The 25,668-nt window shown below is 42.0% G+C and overlaps 1 protein-coding gene across 6 annotated transcripts in view, besides 1 other annotated feature; it reads left to right on the top strand.

The window, feature by feature from the left end:
* The window catches only part of DMRT1 (doublesex and mab-3 related transcription factor 1), a 127,394-nt gene extending 102,743 nt beyond the window's left edge, over positions 1-24,651 (top strand). For all 6 annotated transcript variants that reach the window (XM_006716732.2, NM_021951.3, XM_011517770.2 and 3 more), the window contains exon 5: positions 23,546-24,651. In XM_006716732.2, the coding sequence (XP_006716795.1) occupies positions 23,546-23,700 (155 nt within the window). In that variant the 3' untranslated portion in view covers positions 23,701-24,651. The remainder of the gene's footprint in view (positions 1-23,545) is intronic.
* Positions 24,635-25,197: an enhancer, noted in NCBI's record as "H3K27ac-H3K4me1 hESC enhancer chr9:969074-969636 (GRCh37/hg19 assembly coordinates)". NCBI's record gives its function as "activates a minimal SCP1, AML or CMV promoter by ChIP-STARR-seq in naive H9 embryonic stem cells {active_cell/tissue: H9 hESC(naive)}" and the evidence as "EXISTENCE:reporter gene assay evidence [ECO:0000049][PMID:30033119]".

Genomic DNA, 25,668 nt, shown 5'->3' on the forward strand with positions numbered 1-25,668 from the left:
TCACTCCCCTCTTGCTCCTCCCTCCTTTGAGAGAAAATGATTTGATAAATAACATGGTAAAATAAAACTGATTTTGTGTCTTAGTCCTCCTGATTGTTTGCATTTTAAAAGGAGATGGATATTTAATTCTGAAGAAACGGATCTTTAATGGTGGAATTTCAGATATTTTGGTCCTTGCTTGGCAGGCACATTTTGAGAACAGAATCCGTTGCCCTCATTTATAAGTAGCAACCTCTTTTGGGTAAATGGTACCAAGCCTGATTCTTGCTTTTTGAAGTGCTTTAAGTTGTGTTTGATTCCAAATACTATATTTGTGCACCCATTATGATATCAAATGCTTATAATAAAAGGTTATGTTGTCATAAAATATTACTATTCTATGGTGTTTCAAACATAGGCACTATCGTGTATTTTAGTTCTGTTAGTTACTTGCTTTGGAAAGCACATGACCACCTACAAAGTTAACAAGATAATTTGGTAAATCTAGTTGCCTAAAATTAATGTCCCCCAAACAACCGACTTAATCTGGGGAATTGTCCAGACCTCTGTCAGATAAAGCAGCTGTATAAAAACACATTGACAATAATTATGAAATCTACTACAAGTTTTATCCACAAATTAGATCCTTTGCAAAATAGCATTTTCAAAAAGTGAAAATAAAGTGCTTCATCTTAACAGTATAGCTAGCTAGACTCTAATGTTTTTGTCTTTCTTTCTTTCTTTCTTTTTTTTGACATGGAGTCTTGCTCTGTTGCCCAGGCTGGAGTCCAATGGCTCAATCTCAGCTCACTGCAACCTCTGCCTCCCAGGTTCAAACGATTCTCCTGCTTCAGCCTTTTGAGTAGCTGGGATTACAGGTGCCTGCCATCACGCCTGGCTAATTTTTTTGTATTTTTAGTAGAGACAGGGTTTCACCATGGTGGCCAGGCCGGTCTTGAACTCGTGACCTCAGGTGATCCACCGGCCTTAGCCTCCCAAAGTGCTGGGATTACAGGCATGAGCCACCGTATCTGGCCTGTTTCTGTCTTTCATAATAATTTCCAATCAGCCATTTCGTACTTTCATCAAGATGAAACTTGCTACACTGCTATTTTTTGTATTTTTATTCATCTAAAAAATACCTTTAAAAGCAGAGATTTAAAAGACAGCAGTCAGAAATAACTGGAAAACTGGTTTTTCAGAACATGTTTCTCAATGTATAGTTAAGACAGCTTTATTTTTTTTTCTTAAATGAACAGAACACTGCTGTTTTTATTCTCTGTAGTTCCTGATGAGTTGCTTTTTTAAAAAAAAATACACACTTTTTTTTTTTTTTTGCCAGTTGTAATCTTGGCGTAATACAGTGTTATGGCCTACTTTTCCCTCATTTTATTTATTTTAACAGTTGCCTCAAGAGCTAAACTCTTGATGTGTGTTGTTCCAGACCTTTTGCTATGAAATTACATGCAGATATGTGTTTCTGTAGAAATGTGGTTTGCTTGGCTTTTTAACATAAGGGGTGTTGTAGTCAATGTATTGTTCCTCAGCACTTTCCTTTTTTCAATCAATGCTTGGTCTTAGAGATCTTACATGTTTAGTACATGTAGGTCTACTTTATTATTCTTAACTGGCACCTACTATTCCACAGTTTGGATGGAGCATGGTTTATTAGTTAATTTTCTTATTTATTGGCAGTCATGTTATTTTTCTTTCTTTCTTTTTTTTTTTTGATGTGACAAACAAATGCTGCCCTCTCCTTGTGCAATTGTGCTGGTGTTTTTCTGGGGAGATGAAAGCCTGCAAGTAAGGTTGTATTGAATACTGCCAAATTAACCCCAAGACTGGCTGCACCTGGTTACAATCCTAGCAGCAATGTATTCCTAGCAATTTGGTATTATCCAACATGTACATTTTTGTCTATTGGGTGGATGGGAAATGGAGTCTAGTGGTGGTTTTTATTTCCATTTCCATCAGAGCCAGCATGGTAAGGGAGGTGCCCCATCCAGCATCTGTGCAGTGCCTGAAGTGCCAGGTAACTGGACCATTTCATCCACCGTGGCTCTCTCCTCCCTCTGCAAGAAAAGTACAAGAGTGGGTCACAGGTCATAAGACAAGCCCCGGCATAGTCCATCTCTGCCTAACAGCCACCTCACACTGAATCCCAATCAATCTCCACATAAAAACGCTGGCTTTTGTACAAACAGAGGTTCCGGTAAAGAGCCTTGTGACTTTCCTTCCTTGTAGTTACTTTCTCATTACTAGGCGATCTCCCCAAAATAAAACCAGAAAGCAGAAGGCCATTCCACCCTGCACTCTTGTTGACATGATGTGGGGACAATTGTGTTTCCACTTGGGCTGAAAAATGTGCTGCCTCCTTGGTAGGAAAGATTGGGGAATACGTCCTTTCTGTGCTAATGGGTGTGTACGTCCAGGTCTGCAAGTTTACACTGGCAGTAGTTGAGATTCACACAAAAGAGCAGTGCCTGACAATGCAAGGACTGGATTCACAGACGGTGCCCATCAAGATACCAAAGAGCCGATAATGTTAGGAAATTCGTCATGCAGAATTAGCTAACGATTTGATTTTGACCAGTTACATGATTGGCAGTTTATTATGAGGCAGAGGCTGTCATTACGTCACTTGAAGCAACTCGTCTACAGCAGCTGAAGGATGGAGGAATTGAACCCTACCCCATTTAGTGGCTGAATTCCAGTAAATGGAAAGAACCTAGTCCAAGCTTGTCCATCCCACAGGACTACAGCCACATGCGGCCCAGAATGACTTTGAATGTGGCCCAACACAAATTTGTAAACTTTCTTAAAACATTATGAGATCGTTTTGGGATTTTTTTTAAAGCTCATCAGTTGTCGTTAGTGTTAGTGCATTTTACATGTGGTCCAAGACAATTATTATTCTTCCAATGTGGCCCAGGGAAGCCAAAAGGTTGAACACCCAGGCCTAGTCCATTATTGACAGAAAATGTTAATGTGTCTATTAAGGAAGGAAAGCTCGTAATTTCTTGCTTCAGAAGTAATCACTCAATTCTAAATTATCCTCTCTTGTTTTGTACTCCATTTATTCTGACTTTGAGCAGGCACCAAACCTTTAGCACTTAAAAGAAATGGAGATTGGCGAAATCATAACAAAATGATAGAATTTAAATTCTGGAAGTTGGAGGTCACGGAGCTCAACCCCTTCACTTTATTTTTATTTTATTTTTTTGAGACAGAGTCTGACTCTGTTGCTCAGGCTGGAATGCAGTGGCGCGATCTCGGCTCACTGCAGCCTCCGCCTCCCGACCAACCCCTTCACTTTAGATGTGGAAACTGAGGCCCCAGAGATGACTTGCCCAAGGGGACGGTATAGCCCTTCAAGACAAATACTGTCTGAAGTCAAGTTTTATTATTGTACTACTAACCATTTCCTGTCGCTGGAGTCATAGATCTCAGCCGGAGCTGGATTCTATGTTAGCTTCTTTGATGAATGGATTTCTCCCAACAGTGGGCCTGGGGTCAGCCATGCTGTGTTTCTGTTAGATGTTCCAGGAGCCCTTGCTGCTGCTGACTGGGAGGTGCTGGAGCTCACTGGGGTGAATCAGTTCATTTTTCATTTTCTCCACCTTGACTTCATGGAAGGTCACATGAGGTGGAATTGGGTAATTACTTATCTACTCTGAAAACACACCTGTATGGATTTGCACAGAATGTGGGCCTCCTGTGCTGCTGCTTTGTGCTTTGGGAACACAGTGGGGAGCTTGAGGCCTGTGGGGTGGAGCCTGCCTTGGTTGCAACCCAGCCCCGGCCTGCTCAGGCCCGCCCCTCCTCCCCTCTGTTGAAAGTGTGCTTTAATGAACAGTTTTTCTCATCGTTATCTTAAATGAGATGAAGGGAAAAGCAAAGTTTTTATATTAGGAAGATTATTTGGCCCATTTTTTCTCCTCTCCTCTCCACAGGGACATGAACTACTGGGAAAAACGAGATTTCTTGAAAACTCTTTGACATCTGGGTGTCTGGTAGCTTTCAAATTCCCAGACCCTATGATTCCATTTCAGACTCTACCATTAGATGCCCTAGAGTCTGTGGAAGTCAGTATCCTCTCCACAGCCTGTTGGAAGCCTCTCTGCTGGCCCGGGACAGACCATCCTTCCCCTGCGCTCTGCTGTGTTGGGGCCCAGAAGGCTCCGCAACAAGTGGTTGATTTAAAAGAAAACCTGGAATTTTACCAAGCAGCTTACACTGTGTTGACTGAAACACTCAGAATCTGCCAGGCAGCAAACAGTTGAGTGGCCACCCAACACTTTACTCCACCCAATCACACAATGGGTCCTTAAAGTCTCTCCCTTTAAAAACAAAACAGGCTGGCGCGGTAGCTTATGCCTGTAATCCTAGCACTTCGGGAGGCCAAAGTGGATGGATCACTTGAGGTCAGGAGTTCGAAACCAGCCTGGTCAACCTGGTGAAACTCTGTCTCTACTAAAAATACAAAATAATAATAATAATAATAATAATAATAATAATAATAATAATAGCCGGGCGTGGTGGTGGGTGCCTGTACTTCCAGGTACTTGGAAAGCTGAAGTAGGAGAATCACTTGAATCCGGGAGGCAGAGGTTGTGGTGAGCTGAGATCGTGCCACTGTACTCCAGCCTGAGCAACAGAGTGAGACTCCATCTTAAAAAACAAAACAAAACAAAAACACACACTTGCCAGGTGCAGTGTCTCACACCTGTAATCCCTTGAGGCCAGGAGTTTAAGATCAGCCTGGGCAACAAAGCCTTTCTCTTCAAAAAATAAAACAATTAGCTGGCATGGTGACGTATACCTGTAGTCCTAGCTACTTGGGAGGCTGAGGCAGGAGGATCTCGCTTGAGCCCAGGAGTTCGAGACTGCAAGCCAACTGTGACAGCCCCATTGCACTGAAGCCTGGGAGAGCAAGACCCTCTCTCGGGGAAAAAAAAACCCCAAAAAACCCACAAAAAACTTTTCTGAAGTATGATTGACAATACCGAAAGCTGTTCTTATTTAGTGTATACAACTTGGTGAGTTTGGAGATAAGTATACACCCGTGACACGATCACCACAATCTGTGCCACAAACCTACCCATCACCTGCAAAAGTTTCTTACTGTCTGCTTTATTATTTTGTTTATTCATGATAAGAACACTTGACATAAGACCTACCCTCTTAGCAAGTTTTTAAGCATAAAATACAGTATTGTTAACTGTAGGCACTAAGCTGCACAGATTTCTAGGACTTATCTTGTGTAACTGAAACTTTGTACCCTTTAAGCACTTCCCTGTTTTCCCTTTCTCTCAGGCCCTGTAGCCACCATTCTACTCTGCTTCTGTGGGTTTGGCTATTTTAGATTTCTCATGTAAGTGGAAATCACAGAGTACTTGTCCTTCCGTGTCTGGCTTATTTCACTTAGCACAGTGTCCTCCAGGTTCATTCCGTTGCAAATGGTAAGATTTCCTTCTTTTTAAGGCTGAATAATATTCCACTGTATGCATATAGCACATTGTCCTTATTCATCTGTCTGTCAGTGGACATGTAGGTTGCTTCCATGCATTCCTTGGGTACTGTGACTAGTGCTGCAGTAAATATGGGTGTGCAGATACCTTTTCAAGATCCTGATTTCAATTCTTTGAATATACACTCAGAAGTAGCATTCTTGGATCATACAGTAGTTTATTGAAGTCTCTTCTGCTTGGAAAGTGGAAAGATGTGGGAATTTGGGTCTCTTGGATATCTCCTTACTCAGCTCATTTTTAGAAGGCAAACCTGCAACTCAGTTGATGCCTTAGACTTCAAAGCTGTCTTTTTGCAGCAAAATCATGATTATCTAGAGAGATACTTGGGCAACAGATTTGTGGATGTGAAGAAGAGGAAAGCTCACTGCAGAGGTCTCTCTGGGTCAGCAGGAGGCAGCGTGAGGAACACCACCAGCAAGCTTGTTGTGATGCACTGTGGTCTCTTGTGAACAGTCCCACATTCAGATCCTGAGTACAAATTCTGGCTCTGATACTCAGCAGTCATGTGAGCTTGGGCATGTTAATCTGAGTCTGTTTTTAAAATCTGTCAAGTAAGGATGTTAATATCCACCTCCCCAAAGGGTTTTTGTGAAGATGGTAAAGTATAGTGCCTGGAACATGATAGGGGCTCAACGAATGATAGTAATTATTATTAATAATTATGCTAATAAATAATGTGGACTGAACTTCATTTCACAAGCCTGCTTCCCCAAGTCAGCATTTACCAGCTCCTGCCTTAGGCTGGTAGATGAGCCTTCCTAAGAATTCCTGTTTCATTTCCCCAGCATCTCCTAGCCCCGACTCATTAAAGAAAGCATCTCACTCCTGCAGTTCAAGTGAAAAGCAGTGTTTCCAGAAACGACTGTTTTCTTGGACTTCCTTTTATTCTTGCTTTCTGTCTTTTTCTATCACTTTTTGTTACTACAAAAATGTTTCGTCCTTTATTGTTTCATAGTTGTTTTGATATAGAAAATTATAAGTGCTTCTTAAATAAATGGATGACCTTGGTTTAGGATTATAAAAAGTATATCCCCCTTACTACCAGGCATATTAGTTAGCTAATGCTAATATTTGTGTCTTTTGCCTTTTCTCTCAATTTTATCTGATTCAGTATTACAACTAGTAATATTTGCTAATGGAAATAATTAAAAGTTCATTTTATTAAAATTTCTGACAAATAATTAAATCCTAGAGCCTCATTGAAGCACTAGACAACATGAGAGTTAACTGCTAGCAAAAAATAAATTTATTTTAATATATATTTTTCTTTAAATACCAGTCATTTCTGTTTGGCTGTAAGGACTACATTCAAGTTAAGCTCCTGGAAGGCAGAGTTAAAGAAAAATGATTTTGAGATTAGCTCACTGGTAAATCACTTTGAAAGGCTAAGCCTCTGGTAAGCTGGAAACACAGACCAGACATGGACAGTAACCTTAATCAGCAAGAATGCGTCTTTTCTGTAAATTATGAAAATTTGATGTAGTAAAAATAAAACTTGATTTATCCACTTACCTAGCAGTGCATTCTGTATACTGAATGGTACAGATGACACTTCAGCAATTTGCCCTGCCCCTAAAGATGACATCTCTGCAATGTCTAGAAGCTTCCTCTTTAAAATGAAAATATCAACAAGAGGGTTGGCAGCATGAAGCTTGCATGTACCTCTTGGGTAAATTAGTTTAATTGAATGCTTTTCTTTGAAGAGCTCCAAGCAATATACTTAAAGAATAAAACTGTTCTGGAGCAGATTGAGGGAGGGTATAAGTTGTAGTTTGACAGAAATGAGACCCTGGGAGTGGACCAGGGGCCACAGGATACCTAAGAACAGAAAAGAAGCACAGATGTGAGGAAGATGCAGAGGACCAGGCAAACACATAATAGAGAAAAAATGGCACCTTCTTCTGATTCTGTTTCAGGTAGTCCCTGGTGCCAGTTTGAAGCACTTACTGATTATCTGCTCTCTTCTTACAGGAAGGGAGGGGGGCCAGTGTCCATTCAATGCCTGTTTTGAGCTAAGGAGCTTGCTATGCTATGTATATATTTTTAAAATCACAACAGCCTTTAACATTGTTGTTTTCCTTTAATAGATGAGGAATTGAGGCTCAGAGCTGTTAAATGATTGCCCAGGGTCCCATAACTAGTAAGTGACCCAGCCAGAATGTAATCCCAGGTGTGTCTGATTACAGGTGTTTTTCTTCTGAGAACAGAGCCTTGTTTCATTCACAGCCATATCCCCTGTATCTCGAACAGTGCTGGGCACAGAGCAGATGCTCAGTAAATGTTCTGTGAATTACGTAACCAAATTAGCGCCACAGTGCCTTTTATGCGTGAGTTTTAGTTAGTTGTGGAGGTAGATTAAGAAATAAAAAGGACTAACAGTAGTCATTGTTTTCCTTAGAGTACTCGGCTCCCAAAGAGGCTCTTCCAACACCTTGGACGTGAGATAAAACATGTTCTAAAATTTATACTTTTAAAATTACGGTGTAATCAAAAGGCCAGGCAGCCCGTAAACCTGAGAATTTGTGCAATTGGACTAACATTTCTGATTCCCAGGAAGCTTGCGCCTAACAGTGGAAAGCATTTTTACATGTAAATTGGTCAGTTTTGAGATGAGCTGATAATTTCTGAAATTAGCAGATTACTTATGCTTGAAGGAGCTGAGGTCGCCATTTGTTATCTGACTGCTCTTTGCCCTGAGCTTCGAAGCCAGCCAATAATGCAGTGAGTGCTGGACTTCCACTCTTTTTTTCAAATTAAAGATTTAATTACAGTCTTCACTGAAGATGAACCAAGTGTGAAAATACCTGATCTACTTGGAATGTGGGATCAGGGAGGAGTGTGTGGGTTGGAGTCAGTGCCTGGGCATTTAAATACTTTCAACAGTAACATTAAGGGTGAAATTAATTATATTGTGACCAAATGTTGGCGTGTTGGTTAGGCAGAGTCAGTGAAATTTATATTCTTTTTTTGTTGATCATTTTTTAAAGCCGAAAGGGTTTTTTTCCTTAGGAGATATTCTCATAGCCTATAGACTTAAATCTTTAAGACTTCAAAGGTTTTGAAAGATACACATCTTTGAAATGTGTAGAGACTTTCTTTGTGGACTGCTACATGGTTATTTTGCATACATGCTTTGTGTGTCCCTGTGAAGAATGCGGATTTGTTCATTGTTGGATGCAGAATTTTATATACGTGGAGTCAAGCTTACTTATCTTGTTTACATTTTCAGTCAATTAATAATGAAAGTGATCTATCTAAAACGTATCTGACGGCCACCCCTTATCTATTTTTCTAAGGTAGTAGCTTTAATAAGCCTCCTTTATTATGGAGAAAAAAAAAAGTCTGTGTATCTTTTTGGTCTTCTAGCTTTAGTCATTCTGATATTTCTGTTAGTGTCTGGAGTTTAGTTATACCCATCCAAGGACAGAGTTTAAGGGTAGATTCGAGCTGCCTCATTAACTCGCCATCATTGAGAAATGATCTGTTTCACATACATGCATTTATTTTCTAAATGACGAAAATCTTCTCTTGCAGTTGTCAAAGGCCTCTGCCCCCCCGACCTTTGATGACAGGAAAGTTTATCAAGTGGATTCTTCTCTCTCGCCTGCAGGAAGCTGACCCATTCTTGAGGTTTTGGATTCGTTGCCACCTCTGTTGTTGTACTCCCTCTCCACTGCTGCTTAAGCTGCTTCTTAGTTTTCCTCGCCCCTTCCTTGACGTGGGGCCAGCAATCATCTCTTCTCTCTTGCCAGAGCTGCCTCTCCACCATTCTTTCCATGCATACTTACCTAGTGTGCTGATCACGATTGGTCTAGGAAACAGATTGGCTGGCTTTGTCTCATGACAGTGATCTTTCATTTATTCATCAACTACTATTTGTTGAGTGCTGGCCACATGTAAGTCTTTTAACTAGTGGCCACCAAAGGGCTTTAAAGATAGAACCATAACATGGTCCCTCCTCTGGTCTGTAGGGGAGTCATTAGATCCATAATGAGAGTGAAAGTGATAGTGGCACAAGGAAGGTGGAGTACTGTGGGCATTAGAGAAGGGGGATTAGAGGAGGTTGGCATTTGAGTTGAGTGTTAAGCTGTGGAGATTGGGGAAAGTCTGTGGGACTGGCATGAACTCAGCATCAAAGGCAGGGGACCTTAGAGGTCTGTGCAGGCATCTGGAGCAGGAGAGAGGCTAGGACGTGGCATAATAAGCACGGGGAGAAGTGGGCAATCAGATTGCTCTTGAAATGCCAGGCTAGGGAGCTTGGACCTTTGCAGAAACCACCAAAGGTGTTTATTTAGGAAAGATGTCAGAGACGTGCTTTTGGAAGCGTAACAGCCACCAGGGTAAAGTGAAGCAGAGAGAGAAGGGACCGGATAGGGCACCAGATGCTAGCAGAGAAGGCGCGAGGGGATGAGGGCTGGAATTTAGATGAGGCTGTGGTAGGATAGGGTCATTGGAAAGGAAGGATATGTGTAAGGAGGGATGTGGCAGAGTTCAAGAGAGCAGGATGCAGCAGCTGCTTAGATGTGGGAGGGAGGTGGAGTAGTCTTAAGCTTCGAGTCTGAGCTGGCTAGAGAAGAGGGTGTGAGCCCAAGATCCAAGAGATGAGGGAGGGTCAGGTTTGTTATTGGAGGAGGAGAAGTTGGTAGGTTCAGTTTTTTTTGTTTGTTTTTTTGTTGTTGTTGTTTGGGCTTTATTTTATTATTATTATTATTTTTTAGAGTCTTGCTCTGTCGCCAAGCTGGAGTGCAGTAGTACGATCCCGGCTCACTGTAACCTGTGCCTCCCAGGTTCAAGCAATTCTCCTGCCTCAGCCTCCCTAGTAGCTGGGATTACAGGTGCGTGCCACCACGCCCAGATAATTTTTGTATTTTTAGTAGAGACAGGGTTTCACCATGTTGGCCAGGCTGGTCTCGGACTCCTGACCTCGTGATCTGCCTGCCTCGGCCTCCCAAAGTGCTGGGATTACAGGCATGAGCCACTCCGCCTGGCCGTTCGTTAGCTATTTAAAATACAGACATAGTGCTCAGTAAGAAGTCAGGGAAAGAGATATACATTGTGAAGTCATTTGCAATGAGGTGATATTTAAAGCCTTGTGTGACAAAAGAGAACCCAGTTCAGCAGTTGGAGAATGTCCGTGCTCAGGGTTGGATTAGAGAAGAGGTGGTCAGTGGAGTGGGGAGGGCCTGGAGAAAGGAGAGTACTGTGGCCTGAGGACTGGGGAGGAGGGAGAGGGTAGGGCATGGGCACTTGTCCAGTGCTCCTGAGAGAGGGCAGGAAAGAGCAGGGCAGGCCACTGGCATTGGTGACCAGCAGGTTACATGTGAGCATGAGGAAAGTTTTCTGGGAGTTCGACAGTAGCCAGTTTGCCAGCATTACTGTGTAATAAAATAGAGACAGGACAGTAGGTCATGACTAAGGGAGAGCAGGAAGAAGGGAAAGAAGGAAAAGATTAGTATAAAAGAGGCAAAAAACTTGGCTGGTGTGGTGGCTCACGCCTGTAATCCCAGCACTTTGGGAGGCTGAAGCAGGTGGATGGCTTGAGCCCAGGAGTTCAAGACCAGCCTGAGCAACATGGCGAAACCCTGCCTCTACTAAAAATGCAAGAAATTAGCTAGGCATGATAGTGCATGCCTGTAGTCTCAGCTACTGGGGAGGCTGAGGTGGGAGGATCACCTGAGCCCATGAAATTGAGGCTGCAGTAAGCCGTGATAGTGCCACTGCACTGTCGGGCTGTGGGTATGAAACCCTGTTTCAAAAAAAAGCAGCAGCAAAAAACTAAATCCTGCGTTTCACACCCATTATGATGGCTGTCATTTAAAAAATAATCAGTGAACGGAAAATAAGCGTTGCTGAGATGTGGGTAAGTTGGAACTCTTGTGCATTACCAGTGGGGATGTGAAATGATGTTGTGGAAACCCATATGGCAGTTCTCAAAAAATTAAAGATGGAATTACCATACGGTCCAGCAGTTCTGCTCTGGGTAAATACCCCAAAGAATTGAAAGCAGGGTGTCAAAGAGATATTTGTATACCCATGTTCATATCAGCGTTATTCAAAGGTGGATGCAACGCAAATGACCATTAGTGCATGGATGGATAAACAAAAGGTGTATACGTATACAATGGAATGTTATTTCGTCTTTAAAAGGAAGGAAATTCTGATGTATTCTACAACATGGATGAAACTTGAGAACGTTATGCTAAGTAAAATAAGCCAGACACAAACGGACAAATACTGTATGAGTCCATTTATATGAGGTACCTACAGTAGTCAAAATCATAGAGCCAGAAAGTAGAATGGTGGTTGCCAGGAGTTGAGGGGAGAAGAGGATGGACAGTTGTTGTTTAATGGGTACAGAATTTCAGTTTGGGAAGATGAAGAAGTTTTGGAGATGGATGGTGGCAGTGGTTGTGAATGTACTTCAAATGCATGTATTTCACTGAACGCTACACTTGAAAATGGTTAAGGGCCAGGTGTGGTGGCTCATGCCGGTAATCCCAGCACTTTGGGAAGCTGAGGCAAGAGGATCACCTGAGCCCAGAAGTTTGAGGCTGCAGTGAGTTATGATTGAGCCATTGCACTCCAGCCTGGGAGACAGAGCAAGACCCTGTCTCAAAAAAAAAAAAAACAAAAAACAAAAAACCCAAAATTTAAAAGGCCATACAGACAATTTTTAAATGATGAAATGATAAATGTTCTGCTATGTGTATTTTACTACAATAAAAAATTAAGCAAATGCTGGAAGAAGCCAATTTGTTGACCAGGGGAAGAAATAATTAAATAAAAATTTATCTCATGCTTTGGTAAATAACTGCCAGCCTTTCTTTCCTTAAGTTCAGAGCCTCGCTCTCTTGACCCAGTACCAACAGGCCCTTTCTGGGATCATCTCACCCAGAGATCATAGGTGGTTGTTCTGAGAAGCCCCTTAAGAAAGTCTACAATTAAGTTTGGCTTCAGGTGGGCTGCAGCTAGGGAGAAAAAGGAAACCCTTTTTTGTTTTCCCTTTAATTTTTATTTTAGATTCAGCGGGTTCATGTGCAGGTTTGTTACGTCAGCATATTGCATGAAGCTGAGGCTTGGGGTATGAATGATCCTGTCACCCAGGTACTGAGCATAGTACCCAACAGTTAATTTTTCAACCCTTGCCTCCCCGCCAGTAGTCCCCAGTGTTGATCGCTGCCATCTTTATGTCCATACCCAATGGAACATCTTTTCTTGAAGGCAGACTAAAATACCTGTTGAAACATGAGCATGAGCTCACCTGTCCTGAAACAATTAAAAATATCATAAACACCTGGAGAGAAGAAGGCACAGTAACAATAACATTCCATGAATGCCTTATATTGCCTACAGACTAAACCTCTTTAGGGTTAAAGTCCTTTCTTGGGGCTAATTGGACAGAAGATACCACAAAAATGTTTTAAGAAATACATGTATTAAAGAATTTTAGCAATTGGAGTCTTATGCAATGTATAGAAATATTATTTCAGAAAAGCCTACACAGTCTGTGCTGTTATTTTCTTATTTCTCTTCAGCCCTAATGTGAACCATTCCTAAACAGTGTGCACTTGGTTCTGTAATCTGAACTTACCTTATCATCCATGATGGCCGTGTTATATTTAGGTGGTAAAATAACATGTGCAACTTTGAGTAGGCATGTATTCTCCTGTCTGGAAATGCCTAAAATGTTCAATCTTGATTGTTTTTCGATCCGTAGATGTTCTATTTAGATGTGTCCTGGTATTTGCTTCCTCCTTCTATTTTAGAAGAAAATATTGAGCTGAGGGCAGTGGCTCGCGCCTGTAATCCCAGCACTTTGGGAGGCTGAGGCAGGTGGATCACCTGAGGTCAGGAGTTCGAGACCAGCCTGACCAACATGGCGAAACACTGGCTCTACTAAAAATACAAAAATTAGCCAGATGTGGTGGCGGGCGCCTGTAATCCTAGCTACTTGGGAGGCTGAGGCATGAGAATCACCTGAACCCGCAGGCGGAGGTTGCCCCGATTGGAGATTGTGCCACTGCATTCCAGCTTGGGGGATAGAGCGAGACTCTGTTTTTAAAAAAAGAAGAAAAAGATGAAAAATACTAATAATTTATGAATCTTAAATTTTCATTAATGCTGGTTATAAAGAAACAGAAGGAAATAGTTGGCATAGTATGATAAGCCAACATTGAAGTTTTGTGTGTTACATGTAATGTTCACCCTAAATAGTATTAATAGTTGCTTTTTGAAGAATATGAGTCTCCCAGTAGTAAAGAGAAAATAATTTGCTGTATGCAATCCTCTACCGTGCTACTAGCATATCATTTGTGCCACAATATTTATTTTCAAATTATAAGCTGCAAATTCTATAAAATTCTACTTGAGAAATGGCTTGGGAACTTTCTCTCATATCCACTTAATTGCAAAGTGTCAGAATATTTTTATTTTTGGAGATGGAGTCTTGCTCTGTCACTGAGGCTGGAGTGCAATGGCGTGATCTCAGCTTACTGCAACCTCCACCTCCTGGCTTCAAGTGATTCTCCTGCCTCAGCCTCCCAAGTAGCTGGGATTACAGGCGCACACCACCACACCCAGCTGATTTTTGTATTTTTAGTAGAGACAGGGTTTCACCATGTTGGACAGGCTGGTCTCAAACTCCTGACCTCAGGTGATCCACCCGCCTGGACCTCCTAACTCTCCGGGGGTTACAGGCGTGAGCCACCACGCCTGGTCCAGAATATTTTTAAATGAAAAACTTTCTAAAAACCATATAGCTAAAGATGCACATCCTAAGTGTAAATATTTTGTTAAACATTGTGTTTTATTAGAGATTATATAAATCTAAAGTGAAAGGCTAACTGCAGTTTGTGGATTAGATAGGAAACCAAGCTCATTGGCGCTCTGGATGAGAAGGCAGTGTTGACATTATTGTGACCAGCTCCTCTGGCAGTGGTGTTGACTCCAAAACTGTAATCCTTTTTCTTAGCCTTAACGAGATGCCCATCAAGGTTGGGATTTCCATCACACCTTACCCTTTCAGACTGGAGCATCTGTGATTCTTCTGCAAGGCTGCTTTAAAATTTTCTCATACTGCAAAATATCTGGACAGCCAACCTAGTTTGTAGAGTGGCAAATGTCACAGCCTACTTTATGGGTTTGATTACTTTTGTATCTGAGAAAACAGCTTTCCCAGAATCAAATGATAAGTCTATTTCAGAGACGACTCGTAGAGCATCTTCTTTGCCCAGCCTGCCTTCGTTACTGAGATGATCACGTATATATTTAAGTCTGTTTTCAAATGCACTTGTGGTGTGTGTGGCCAACCCAGTCATGGCACCTATATGTGGATCTGAGCACTCATTTGCATTGCACAGAGTCCCTGAGGAACTCATTAAAAGCTGGGGGCCTTTGGCCTGGGCTGACAGGGTCCTGGTGCCACCACTTGTCAGAGGGTGTGTTTGATGCTGCTTTTCCCTTTGCCTCTGTGTCCAGGCTTTGCATAGAGTCACTATGTAGTCACTACAGGCAGAATTGATTCAAACACTTGTACTCTAAACTCCTTAAACTGGTTTTATTGTTGTTGTTGTTGTTTTGTTTTGTTTTTTGTTTTTTGAGATGGAGTCTTGCTCTGTTGCCCAGGCTGGAGTGCAGTGGCACTATCTTGGCTCACTGCCACTCTGCCTCCTGGGTTGAAGCGATTCTCCTGCCTCAGCCTCCCGAGTAGCTGGGATTACAGGCATGTGCTACTATGCCCGGCTAATTTTTGTATTTCCAGTAGAGATGGGGTTTTGCCATGTTGGCCAGGCTCGTCTTGAGCTCCTGACCTCTGGTGATCCACCTACCTCAGCCTCCCAAAGTGCTAGGATTACAGGCGTGACCCACCGCATCCAGCCACCTTAAACTGGTTTTAGACTTGAGACTGTCTGCCAGTGCATGCATGGGTTAGTCCTGTTTTATGGTTGCAGTGTGTCTTGTGAAGGCTACATTCCATTGTTTTTCTCACTCATGCATCCATTATTAAACACCCACTATGTGCTCTGCACTGTGCTGGACATGGACAATGGATGGTAGACATTCGCAGCTCAATTTCCATTTACCCGAGGTTTGTCTTTTACCTTGTGGACTTTGTGTCTTTGCCTCCAGGTGGTTCTCCTGGCTCTTTGCCCTAGCCTGATTCAGTGGAGTCGGCTTGCCTGTTGGCCCAGCCTCAGGAATGGTTAAGTGTCACTGAAGGCCTATACATGATGCCGTGAAAAGCACAAACAATAGGCTCAGGTTTTAGCTTGGAATTCATTTTAACTTTCAGTCTTTTGGTGTGTAAAGAGGGATGAAGAAAGCAATTGTTGACTTTCCTTCACATCAGAATTGAAACTTGTCCAAGAACATTCAGAGGTGTTGGGTGTGTTGTCACTTTTTTTCCTTTCTCAACCAATGTTTAATAAAAATCCTATTAATTTCCAATGGAGTACAGACACTCACAATTCTTTCCTGGAGAAGAGTATAGGCTTCTGCCAGAGGAGAGGGGACAGAAAATAATGAGTAACAAGTGTATAGACCTTTAGGGTTTACAAACTATTTTGTCTCCTTGATCCTCAATGCAACTTTGTGAGATATTTATTACCTTCCTTTACAATTGAGGAAACTGAGGCACAGGGTGTTTATTGAGGTGCCAGTGTGGATGGCAGAGCTCCTGGTCTTTCTGGACAATTCTCAGACGGTGGCTGCTCCTGGCTGAGGGGTACGAGCTGGGCTTGGCCCAGCCTGACAGGTACTCCTAAGTGAGAGGAGCCAGCCAGAAGCAGGCCTCCCTCAGCCCTCCTGCCTAGCGTGCAGTGTGGTGGGAAAACAGTCTCCCAGAAAGGAGGCTGTGTTTCTGCTGCCTCTTCGAGCTCAAGAAAGATGAAGTAGGGTGGGGTGGGGCAGGTGTAGACAAGGGAAGTGGAGTGGGGGAGCAGTGCTGAGAAGTGACGCTAGGAACAGGGCTCAGTTCAGACAGCATCAGGTGCTGAGATGTGGTTGTCACCGGGCCACACGTGTGGGTGACCACAGGAGGGAACGTAGCACTTAATGGGGCCCCACGCCTTGTGTAGAATCCTCCTAAGTGCTCTACTGTATCCCCAATTTTACACATGAGGAAGCAGAGACATGGAGAGGTTAAGGGACCTGTCCAAGGTCTTCAGGTAGTAAGACAGCCCACCTCCGGAGCCCACACCTGACCCCTCTACTCTGTTGCATTCTGACCCAGGGACAGTTTCTGGAATGCCTCGTTTTAATTCCCTTTAGTAACAACATCCTGCAGCAAACCCACACACTGGGTAACTCTTTGCTCTTCTCTCCTCAGAACGCAAGCCTCGTTGTGACAGGGCTCCAGGAACCCAGTAATTGTAGATTAGGAACAGATGAGACCCGTACTTATTTGGAGACATTGACACCTGTGCCATGTACTTCCCAGAGTTCCCAACTTTTAGGACAAACTTAGGCTCAAAAACCACAGATTCTTCCTTCCTCCAAATGCTAGTCTGAAGGGATGGTTTGCTTGATCGTGGGATAATAATGCTATTTTCTGTTTGGTTTATAAAGTATGTTCACAGACATTCTGGTGTTTGATTTGATGCCAGCCATCTTCTCACCTCCCTCCTCAAAAAGATTGAAAAAGGCAGAACTGATGTTAACAAAGGCCGTTCAAGTGAGGAATAGGTTGTTTTGCCTCTTGGATGTGACCTTCAGGCTATTACATAGTAAACATGTATTCCTGGTTCTCTGAAAAAGGCAACATGTATGTGTGGCCTGGAATAAACAGACCTTGTACTAAATCCTGATATGATTCTGATGCGTTCAAAAGCAAGAATCTTCTCACATTAAGACATGGAGATTTAGACAGCTGACAGAGGAATTAAGGAAACTAATATTTGTTGAGTAAACATTACTCCAGTCATCTTCACTACTATCTGTTATTACCCCCTTTTCACAGATGGAGAAACTAGGGCGCAGGATGCTTAAACAATGTCCCAGGTACCAGAGGAGTTTTCTTAAAAGTCTAGGTCGTGTTTATTTTACTGGAGAGCAGAGGAGAGCAAAGAGTTAGCCAGTCTGTGGTTTTACTGCAGGATGTTGTTACTAAAGGGAATTAAAAGCCCCACGATGATTAGGTGTTAAGACTTAATATATTTTGGTTAAAACATAGTTTTAGAGTGACTTTGACTGTTTGGATTGCGTGTATCACCAAATGCGACACCCCTGGACGGGACTAGTCAACTGAGTCAGTAAAAGTGAGTCAGCCCCTCGTGTGCACGCTTGCTCACCTCTGAGAGGGTTTAGGAAGAGATGTCAGTGGGAGGAAAGTTCCCACAACTGACTGAGTTTGGGGGCAAGGGAGCAGTCTGGAGCATCACCATTGCTGACAGGCAAGAAGGGTTTTTTGGAAGGTGAGGAGTGAGGGGAGAGGAGGTACTTCAAAGGGTGCTGAGCCCCTATCAGGGTAGGGCTGCTGCCATGGACATGTTGATTATTCATGGCTTTGAGACACAAGTTGCTTGTGGTGACCTCCTCCATGAAACAAGCAGGGAATTTGGGGACCCACCAGCTTTCTATGCTGTGGTCCAGGAGGGCTTGGGTGGGGTGGGGTGGGGTGGAGGTGGCACTGGGGACCCACCAGCTGCCATGCTGTGGTCCAGGAGGGCCTGGGTGGGGTGGAGGTGGCATTGGAGAAGGAACGCCTGGCCGTGAGCTAATTTTGCTTGAGTCCCTGGTTGGGGTATAAGGCTGAATGCGCCCCTTCTTTCTCTTCCCTTTTTGCATACCATGTTAATATAAACAAAAAAGGCTTCTTCCCTTTGCTTCTCGGTTGAACTCTGTAAGTGGGGGAGTAAGTTTGATGGGTGCATTATCACTTAGTTTCACAAGCAGCAGGGAAACTAATCTGCAGCTACAGTAGGACCAGACTGTGAGCCCAGATTCTCAGACTCCCGGGCCAGTGCTCCCCCAACCTCTGACATGCTGTAGAAGGATGCTTGCTTGGCTCTGTTCCTTTTGAGAGTTAAAAAATTGGCCTACTATTATTTTGTGAATTGTGTGTACATTATGTTTTACATAAAATTTAGAGGGAAAGAGGTAATGTTGCATAAATATGTACTTTCTGTTAAGTTCACCTAGTTTTTAAAGTATGCTATTTGCCAGTGCTTGCAAAGGTTGTGATAGTTGTATCAACGAGGAAGCACTGATAATTTACCTGATTCCATCTATAGGATCTTTCATTTAATTTACCTGATGCCATCTATAGGTTCTTTCATTTACAGTGATTGGCCAGTTCTCTCTACAATACGCAAAGTGCAGAGCTAGCCCCCTTCAAAACCGATACTCGATTTTAAAGCTGATAACTAAGATATGGTGTTACGGAAAACACAATCCTATGCTCCACTCTCTCATCACTACTCTTTAATTGCACTCGGGGGAAAAACACATTTAATTGTTTCAACGATCATTACTTTTTTTTTAGTAAATTTATAGTAAATGGAGGAGATTACCAAAGGGCTATTTTTTTCTCAGCTTGTGGTTTCTAATTACATCAGTTACAGCTCAGCCTTCTTCTTAACTAGAGTGCAGGCATGAACTGGAAAAGAATGAGCTAATCCATGATAGATCAGGTGGAATAAAGATCTCCATTCATATCTTTACCTTTTATCCCTTGTTCTGAGTGCCAAGAATTAATGCTATTTGAAAGTACAAACTGAACCTGCCAAGCTTCGGACAGCTAAGATAATCCTAATTATTTTAAATGTTAGTGAGAAGGGCAGCAGTTCCACTCTGGAAAAGAGTTCTATTGTGAAACATTAAATATATGCTAAGTGGTATTGATTGCACATGATTTTATTTCCAAACACTATGGTTATCATGAAGTGGAAGAATTTGTTGTTTAAGAAATTTTCATCAGCTTTTCATCAGATTCTTTCTTATGCCTACAAAGTCTAGGAAACTGAAGAGGCCAGCAATTTTGTTTGTCTGCCTTGGCAGTCAGCATCTAGATGAAGAGTTGGTAACAACTGAAAAATGCCACTTGTATTTTATTTTAAAATGGTTTCTTAGGAGTTTAATAGTGTTTAACATATAGAGGAAGGAAAAATGTTTTTAAAGCATGAATATCCTGTTTTCTCACATCACTGGAAGAGAATTATTCGTTCCAGTCCATTGACTTCCAACAGATCATTCAAGTTAAAAGTCAGGGGTCTTTGCAATGTCAAAAGATTTAGCACTTAGAGTTTTGTGGTTTTTTTTTTAAGAAGGTTTTCTTTTTTGACAGTATAAATATTTTTCAAAAATAATACTCATGGTTAGATGGCATCAAAATCATCTTGAAGTGTTTTTTCCCCTCATTGGTAAGAATGATCCTGTGTAAGGTTTTCTGTTTATTTTTAAATCATAATAAAATAACATCCCAGTAGCTTCGGTAGACAAATAGGCTTCTTGAGAGAAAACAGATACTAGATTTGCTGGTTCAAACAAGGGTCAGCCTCGGAGGTTTACCCACCTTTCATTGTAACACAAAAAAATATCAGATGGGCAAGTTTTCCTTTTTTCTTTTCCTTACTTTTCAGTCTCTGCTGTGGTGTGCAGAAATAATTTCTTCTATTTCTGTAAATGCTGGGAGGCTATCAATGATTATAGGGTAGTATAATCCTTAATTGTTTATTGCCTGTGAATGCTTCCTGCCCCCAACCCCAGTGCAGCTGGCCCCAACTCCCTTCCCCAAGCACAAGAGCAGTACACTAACATCTTCACTGACGGTGTGTTGAGCATCTCAGGCTCAATTATTCTTCCTTTCTTCGGGGTTATTCCCCAGAGTGGAATTACCAGGTCAGAGGGGCTGAACAGCTTTATGGTTCTTATTACATGTCACTAGATTGCTGTCCAGAGAGATTGAACCAATTTCTAGTGCTACCAATACTATCTGTTCCCCCACAGTGCCACTGACGCTAGGAGTTAGCATTTTTACAAAATGACCTAAGACAAGACTTTTGAGTTGAAATTAGCCTGGTGTAGGGCCCCTTAGAATCAAAGAGCGAAAAGCATCATTTAGATTTTTGAATTTTTAATTGGTATGAAATAATTTACAACGGTCAACTATTAGCCTTCTCCTTCCAAAAGTTTAAGGAAGCTGCATTAAAATGGAAAAGGTACCTCTGAGGGACGATCTTTAAGGATGGTAGTAAAAGTGATTTTGGACATTAGTCACTAAGGAAAAACACACTAAATCTTTTCACGTACCTAGAACTCTATGAGGGGCTATACTTAAACAGATACTATCCCTAACTTCAACAGCCTATTATTTAAAAACAATGCTAAGCCTTGAACAAATGTAAAAATAGCATGGGTTTAAATTTTGAGTGGAGAAACACTATAAACAATACGGCTGTTTTTCAAAACAGGGTGAGTTTTACATTTTCTCTAGAGTGCAGTCATGCATTAAAAGTATGCTTGGAGCCCCGCTAGTCCATGCAGGTAATATTCTGCATGCTTTGTGGCCCCACGTCGCAAGAGCACTTTCCAAGAAAATATTCATAAGGCAAGTTAGAGCAAAAGGGGGATATTGTCAAATTCCTTTCTTTTGCAAAATTCCCACTCCTCCCCTTTTCAGTCCCAAGTTGGCTAAATGAGGAGAGGGCATCTCCCGGGGCATCTCCCAGTCAGCTGCTAACTGGAAACAGGCCCAGGGCTCTGAACATGTTGGGAGAACACATACCTATTCCTTTACAAGCCTCTGCATCAGCTTGGCAAAGGTCCGTTGCTTTGCCTCCTTAAACTCACACAGGGATTGGGAAGGTTCAGCTGCCAGTTCTGAAATGTGGGGCCCAGGAGAAGGTTGGTGCAGGGGCCAGAGCACGCCAGAGTCAGCCTAATCAGTACAGTGCTGCCCTTGACAGCTTGCACAGGATCCCTGTGTTAAACGGGGAGAGTAATTCTCTCAGTGAATGGTTTGAGGGTGAAATACCTCACTAAAGTATGTGTGTGGCATACAGGTAGTAGTCAGTAATGTTTACTGTTCTTCTCCATAGCTTCTATACAGAGAAACTTCTGTCACTGGTTGGGGGTGGGGACATTAACGCACGGACTCCAGGAAGCTCTTAGTCGGCTCTCCAGATCTGTATAGTAACAAGATCTCAAAGCAGTCTGCTGCCTTTGGAAAACATTTCTCTGTACATATATATGACAACCAGGTGCATGTATACAATTAATAAATCACCTTGGATTTGCATGGAATTTAAATGCATATAACAATACAAATTTAGTAAGATACTTTTATGAACTGTAATAAGATGAAGGCTTCATATTTCCTAGATTCCTAGTTTTGGTTGCTATATTTATATATGCATATGCGTGCTTTTTTGTTATGAAATACTACTTAATGACTCCCTTTAAATTAAAAAAAAATATTTTCCTATATTTTAAAGCTTACAAACTTATCCTTTGCTTTTTATTTACCTTATTAAAGACTAAACAAATCTATCAATATAAAAAGTAACCACTTGTCAGGAAATTGCCTAAATTGTTTTTCAAATTTATTCACTTACTGAATTTTCAGATCATCTCTTTCCTTCTTGGATATTGAGGTAGCTGTACAAAACTATCCATTTGTCTATCTGTCTACCCATATGTCACACTGGAAGAAGGGGGCCTTCTGAAAGAATGTGGTCCAGTGGAGTGGTTAAGGGCCTGCTTCTTAAATCCTAGCTCTGTTCTTTTATTTCTGTGTGGTTCCACTAGCTGCAGCAAACCTTTTCCAAACCCGTAACGAGTGTAAATAGTGTTCAGTTGTAAAAAGGTCTCTTTTCAGCATGGTAATATACCTTATTAAATTCCAAACATAATAAGTATTGATGGCAAACACATCAGGACCCAGTGCAGCTTCTACTATGATTTAGTTCTCTACAAATGACTTCAGCACTCAGCTCCCAATGCATTTTGCTAATTACATCATAGATTTCCCTATTGATGAACACAAGCTGAATTAACACAGGAGCACTAATGTACCCTTTCACCATTATTGTTGTACAAGAAGCCGTGGCAGATGCTGGCAGTTAGTTACACAAACATTAGTATTAACGATTGGCCATTTGGAATTGGTGACAAACTACTGCCCGGCAGAATCCTGAGGCTGAAACCAATCAGGAAGTTAATGAGGAGAGAAATTACCACTGCAGCTTCCCCTTAATTACATTCACACTAGGCAGGAAGGGAGTTCTGGGGGTGGATCTAAACTCAGCTAAGGTTAAGAAGGTCAGAGACCCTTTTGCTTAAGTTTTTTATCTACTGTGGCTGCTAAGGTTGCAAAAGTTGCTTAACACATTATTACTTTTGCATCCTTCATATTTAATGTGGGTTTTCCAGTGGAGTTTTATGTTCCTAGGTTTGCTTTCACAATTTATCTGACTTCTATTTTAGTGTGATGTAATTTATTTACTTTTCTGTTTTTACAATTTTTCTCTCCCATTTACTGTCTTTTACTTTTTAAAAGTTATGTATGCTGACATCCCTTTCCCCCGTCTTTGTCCTGTTATGCCAAGAGAAATAATAGTAAAGTTAATATGCTATCCACTTCACCTGCTGTATCTTGAAAAAGTAGGGTGGGTTACCTGTCGTGGTGGAAATGCATGGGTGGAGTCTTGCTTGAGGTAATGTGTCAGATGGATCACTTGACAAGTTTCATCAGCATACTTTGCATAAAGGGGAGGAGTCCGGTGAAGGGTGGAAATAGTTTCCCAAAGAGGATGCAGCCGACTTGTTTTGTTTTTTAATGAACGTTAAACTGGAACTCTGCTATCTAGCTTACTCCTTTCGTTAAATAGGTATACTGTGTAGAATACTATTTTTTTATTCTAAAGAAATGCTAGGAGTTTTAATGAGTGTCTATAAAAACACTTTCAACTCAGAATAGAAATGGAGAGCGTCACTTTCTTTGTTGTAACCTAATTGAATAATGAATGTATAAAGACCAGCCACTTTTAACATTACTCCCTTTCTCCCTTTCTCTCTTTCTCTCTCACCTCACTTCGCAGTATTCTCGCCGCCCAGCAGTCAAGATTCTGGCTTGGTTTCCCTCTCGAGCAGCTCTCCTATTAGTAACAAGAGCACAAAGGCAGTGCTTGAATGTGAGCCTGCGTCGGAGCCCAGCAGCTTCACAGTCACTCCCGTCATCGAGGAGGACGAGTGAGCAGTGCCTGCTGCCGATGGCGGTTCACTTGGAGTAACAGGCTTATTCCACTTTCCATGGGGTTTGTTAATATTTTGCATTGACTCATACTATCTTAACTGTTGAGAACGTATTTGGTTTATATTCCTTAGAGTTTAGTCCAGAGGCTGTAACACATTTGTAATACTTTAGGGTCCGTGACTACCATCTGCATGGTTTAAGTGCTTTACTCACGGAGTTTAAATAATAGTGTTCATTTTTTTAATGACACTGGTTTCATGTAGTTTTCAAGAAATAAAAGAATTCATTCAAGTGAAGCCATTTGTGTGCCTCTAAATGAGTCATCTAATTAGATGTTACTTTTAGTTTTAAAATGAAATCTTAGGTGCCTTAGGGGTTTTTTTTTTTTTTAAGTATTTTTTAAAAACCTGCAAAGATATAAATTTAGCCAAGTTACCTGACGGGTGAGAAGAAAAGAGCAGGCAAAATTAGTGATTTTTTTAGAAGTCTGCTAAATGGATATATTGTGTGTGTTGCTGTTGGAAATAGCCCCACCCCATCCTCCCAATCCAAAACGTAACTGAAATATAATCAGAAACATTAAAGCCTGTAAAAAAAAATTGCTGCGTTTTTGGTAAAGGGTGTAATTTGTAAACAGTGCAATTTAAAGTGACCTTAGTGATGCAGAGTTCCTGAGTGGTGTTTGTAGAATGAGTTTATCATACATTCTTTCTACTACTGGAAAAAAATGGATGCAGTCTGGACTGTTGTAACCTTAGGTTGTAATCTGATTTGGAAATAAGTACATCTTTAAAAGTTGCTACAGATTTGAGTTCATGATTTTGTTAAAAATTGCTATGGAGTACTTTGTTATATAACAGAAGCCATCCTGAAATGAAACTAGTCTAAAAAAATTCATTGTTCTACTTAGTTGCAGCTGTACCTGAAATAAAAATGTTATTGATGACTGAATTTTCTTGTGTGTATATTTGGTGAGCGGTATTAAACAGGAAAAAAGAAATTACTTGTATTTTCTTCGCTCTGTGCTTTGAAAACATCTATTTGATTTCACCCCCATCTGTTGTAATCAATAACCTGACCATCTTGTTTTTTATTAAATGCACTTACTCTTAATTTCATCCACCAGTGGTTTTAGAGAGAATAATGTGGAGTTACCTATATAGGTTTGACATTATAAATCACTTCTTGGGGCTGAATCGTATAGCGGTATCGATTGATCCTGATATATCACAGAAATTTACTGTCACTTCTGTTTTCAATTAAAGATACAATCAGTCAGATAATGACTTAATTGGATTTTACAGAAGATTGAGTTTTATTGCCCAGTGCTTTACGAGTTTAGTTAAGGAAGATCATTTTATCACACTTGTCAGGCTGCTGCTACTGCAGCCGTGTGCCCTTCGGCGGGCGGCTGTAGCTGTAGCTGTTGTGACGGCTACGGCGGAGGCTGCGGCCGCGCGGGGAATGGAGCCGGACCGCGGAGTCGTCACCTCCAAGGTGTTTCTAGTGGCCTCCTGGAAGATGATCCCGCGCCCACCTTGCCGGCGTGTTCGCGGGCCCCTGCCCACTGCCCCCCCTCTTTCTTTAGGTCTGGCTTTTGAGGATCCCGGAGTCTTGCAGCTCCCGCCATTCCGCAGATAACCTCCGCACACTTAATTGTGACCCGCGGGGTGGTCGGAGAAGCTCCGCACGCGTCCTCAGTGGGAAAGTGTCCCCTCTCAGCACTGCCCCCTTCAGTCCCCCTGCATTTCTGGAAAGTCAGGCAAGGCCCAGGTAGGCTGCCAGTGCACTCTCAGCCTTGACTGAGCACCTTTCGGGCCTCTGGTGAGCCCCGAGAGCCAGGTTTGGCTCGGCAGAGCGGGCTTGGGCTGCGCAAGCAATGCGCATCGTGGCCGCCTGCACCCTGGGAACTAGGCCTGTCCAGTGGGCAGCATCCTCATTTTTGAAAAGGCCCTTCTAAACCCACCG

The sequence above is a fragment of the Homo sapiens genome, chromosome 9 (assembly GCF_000001405.40).
Source record: "Homo sapiens chromosome 9, GRCh38.p14 Primary Assembly".
NCBI lineage: Eukaryota > Metazoa > Chordata > Mammalia > Primates > Hominidae > Homo > Homo sapiens.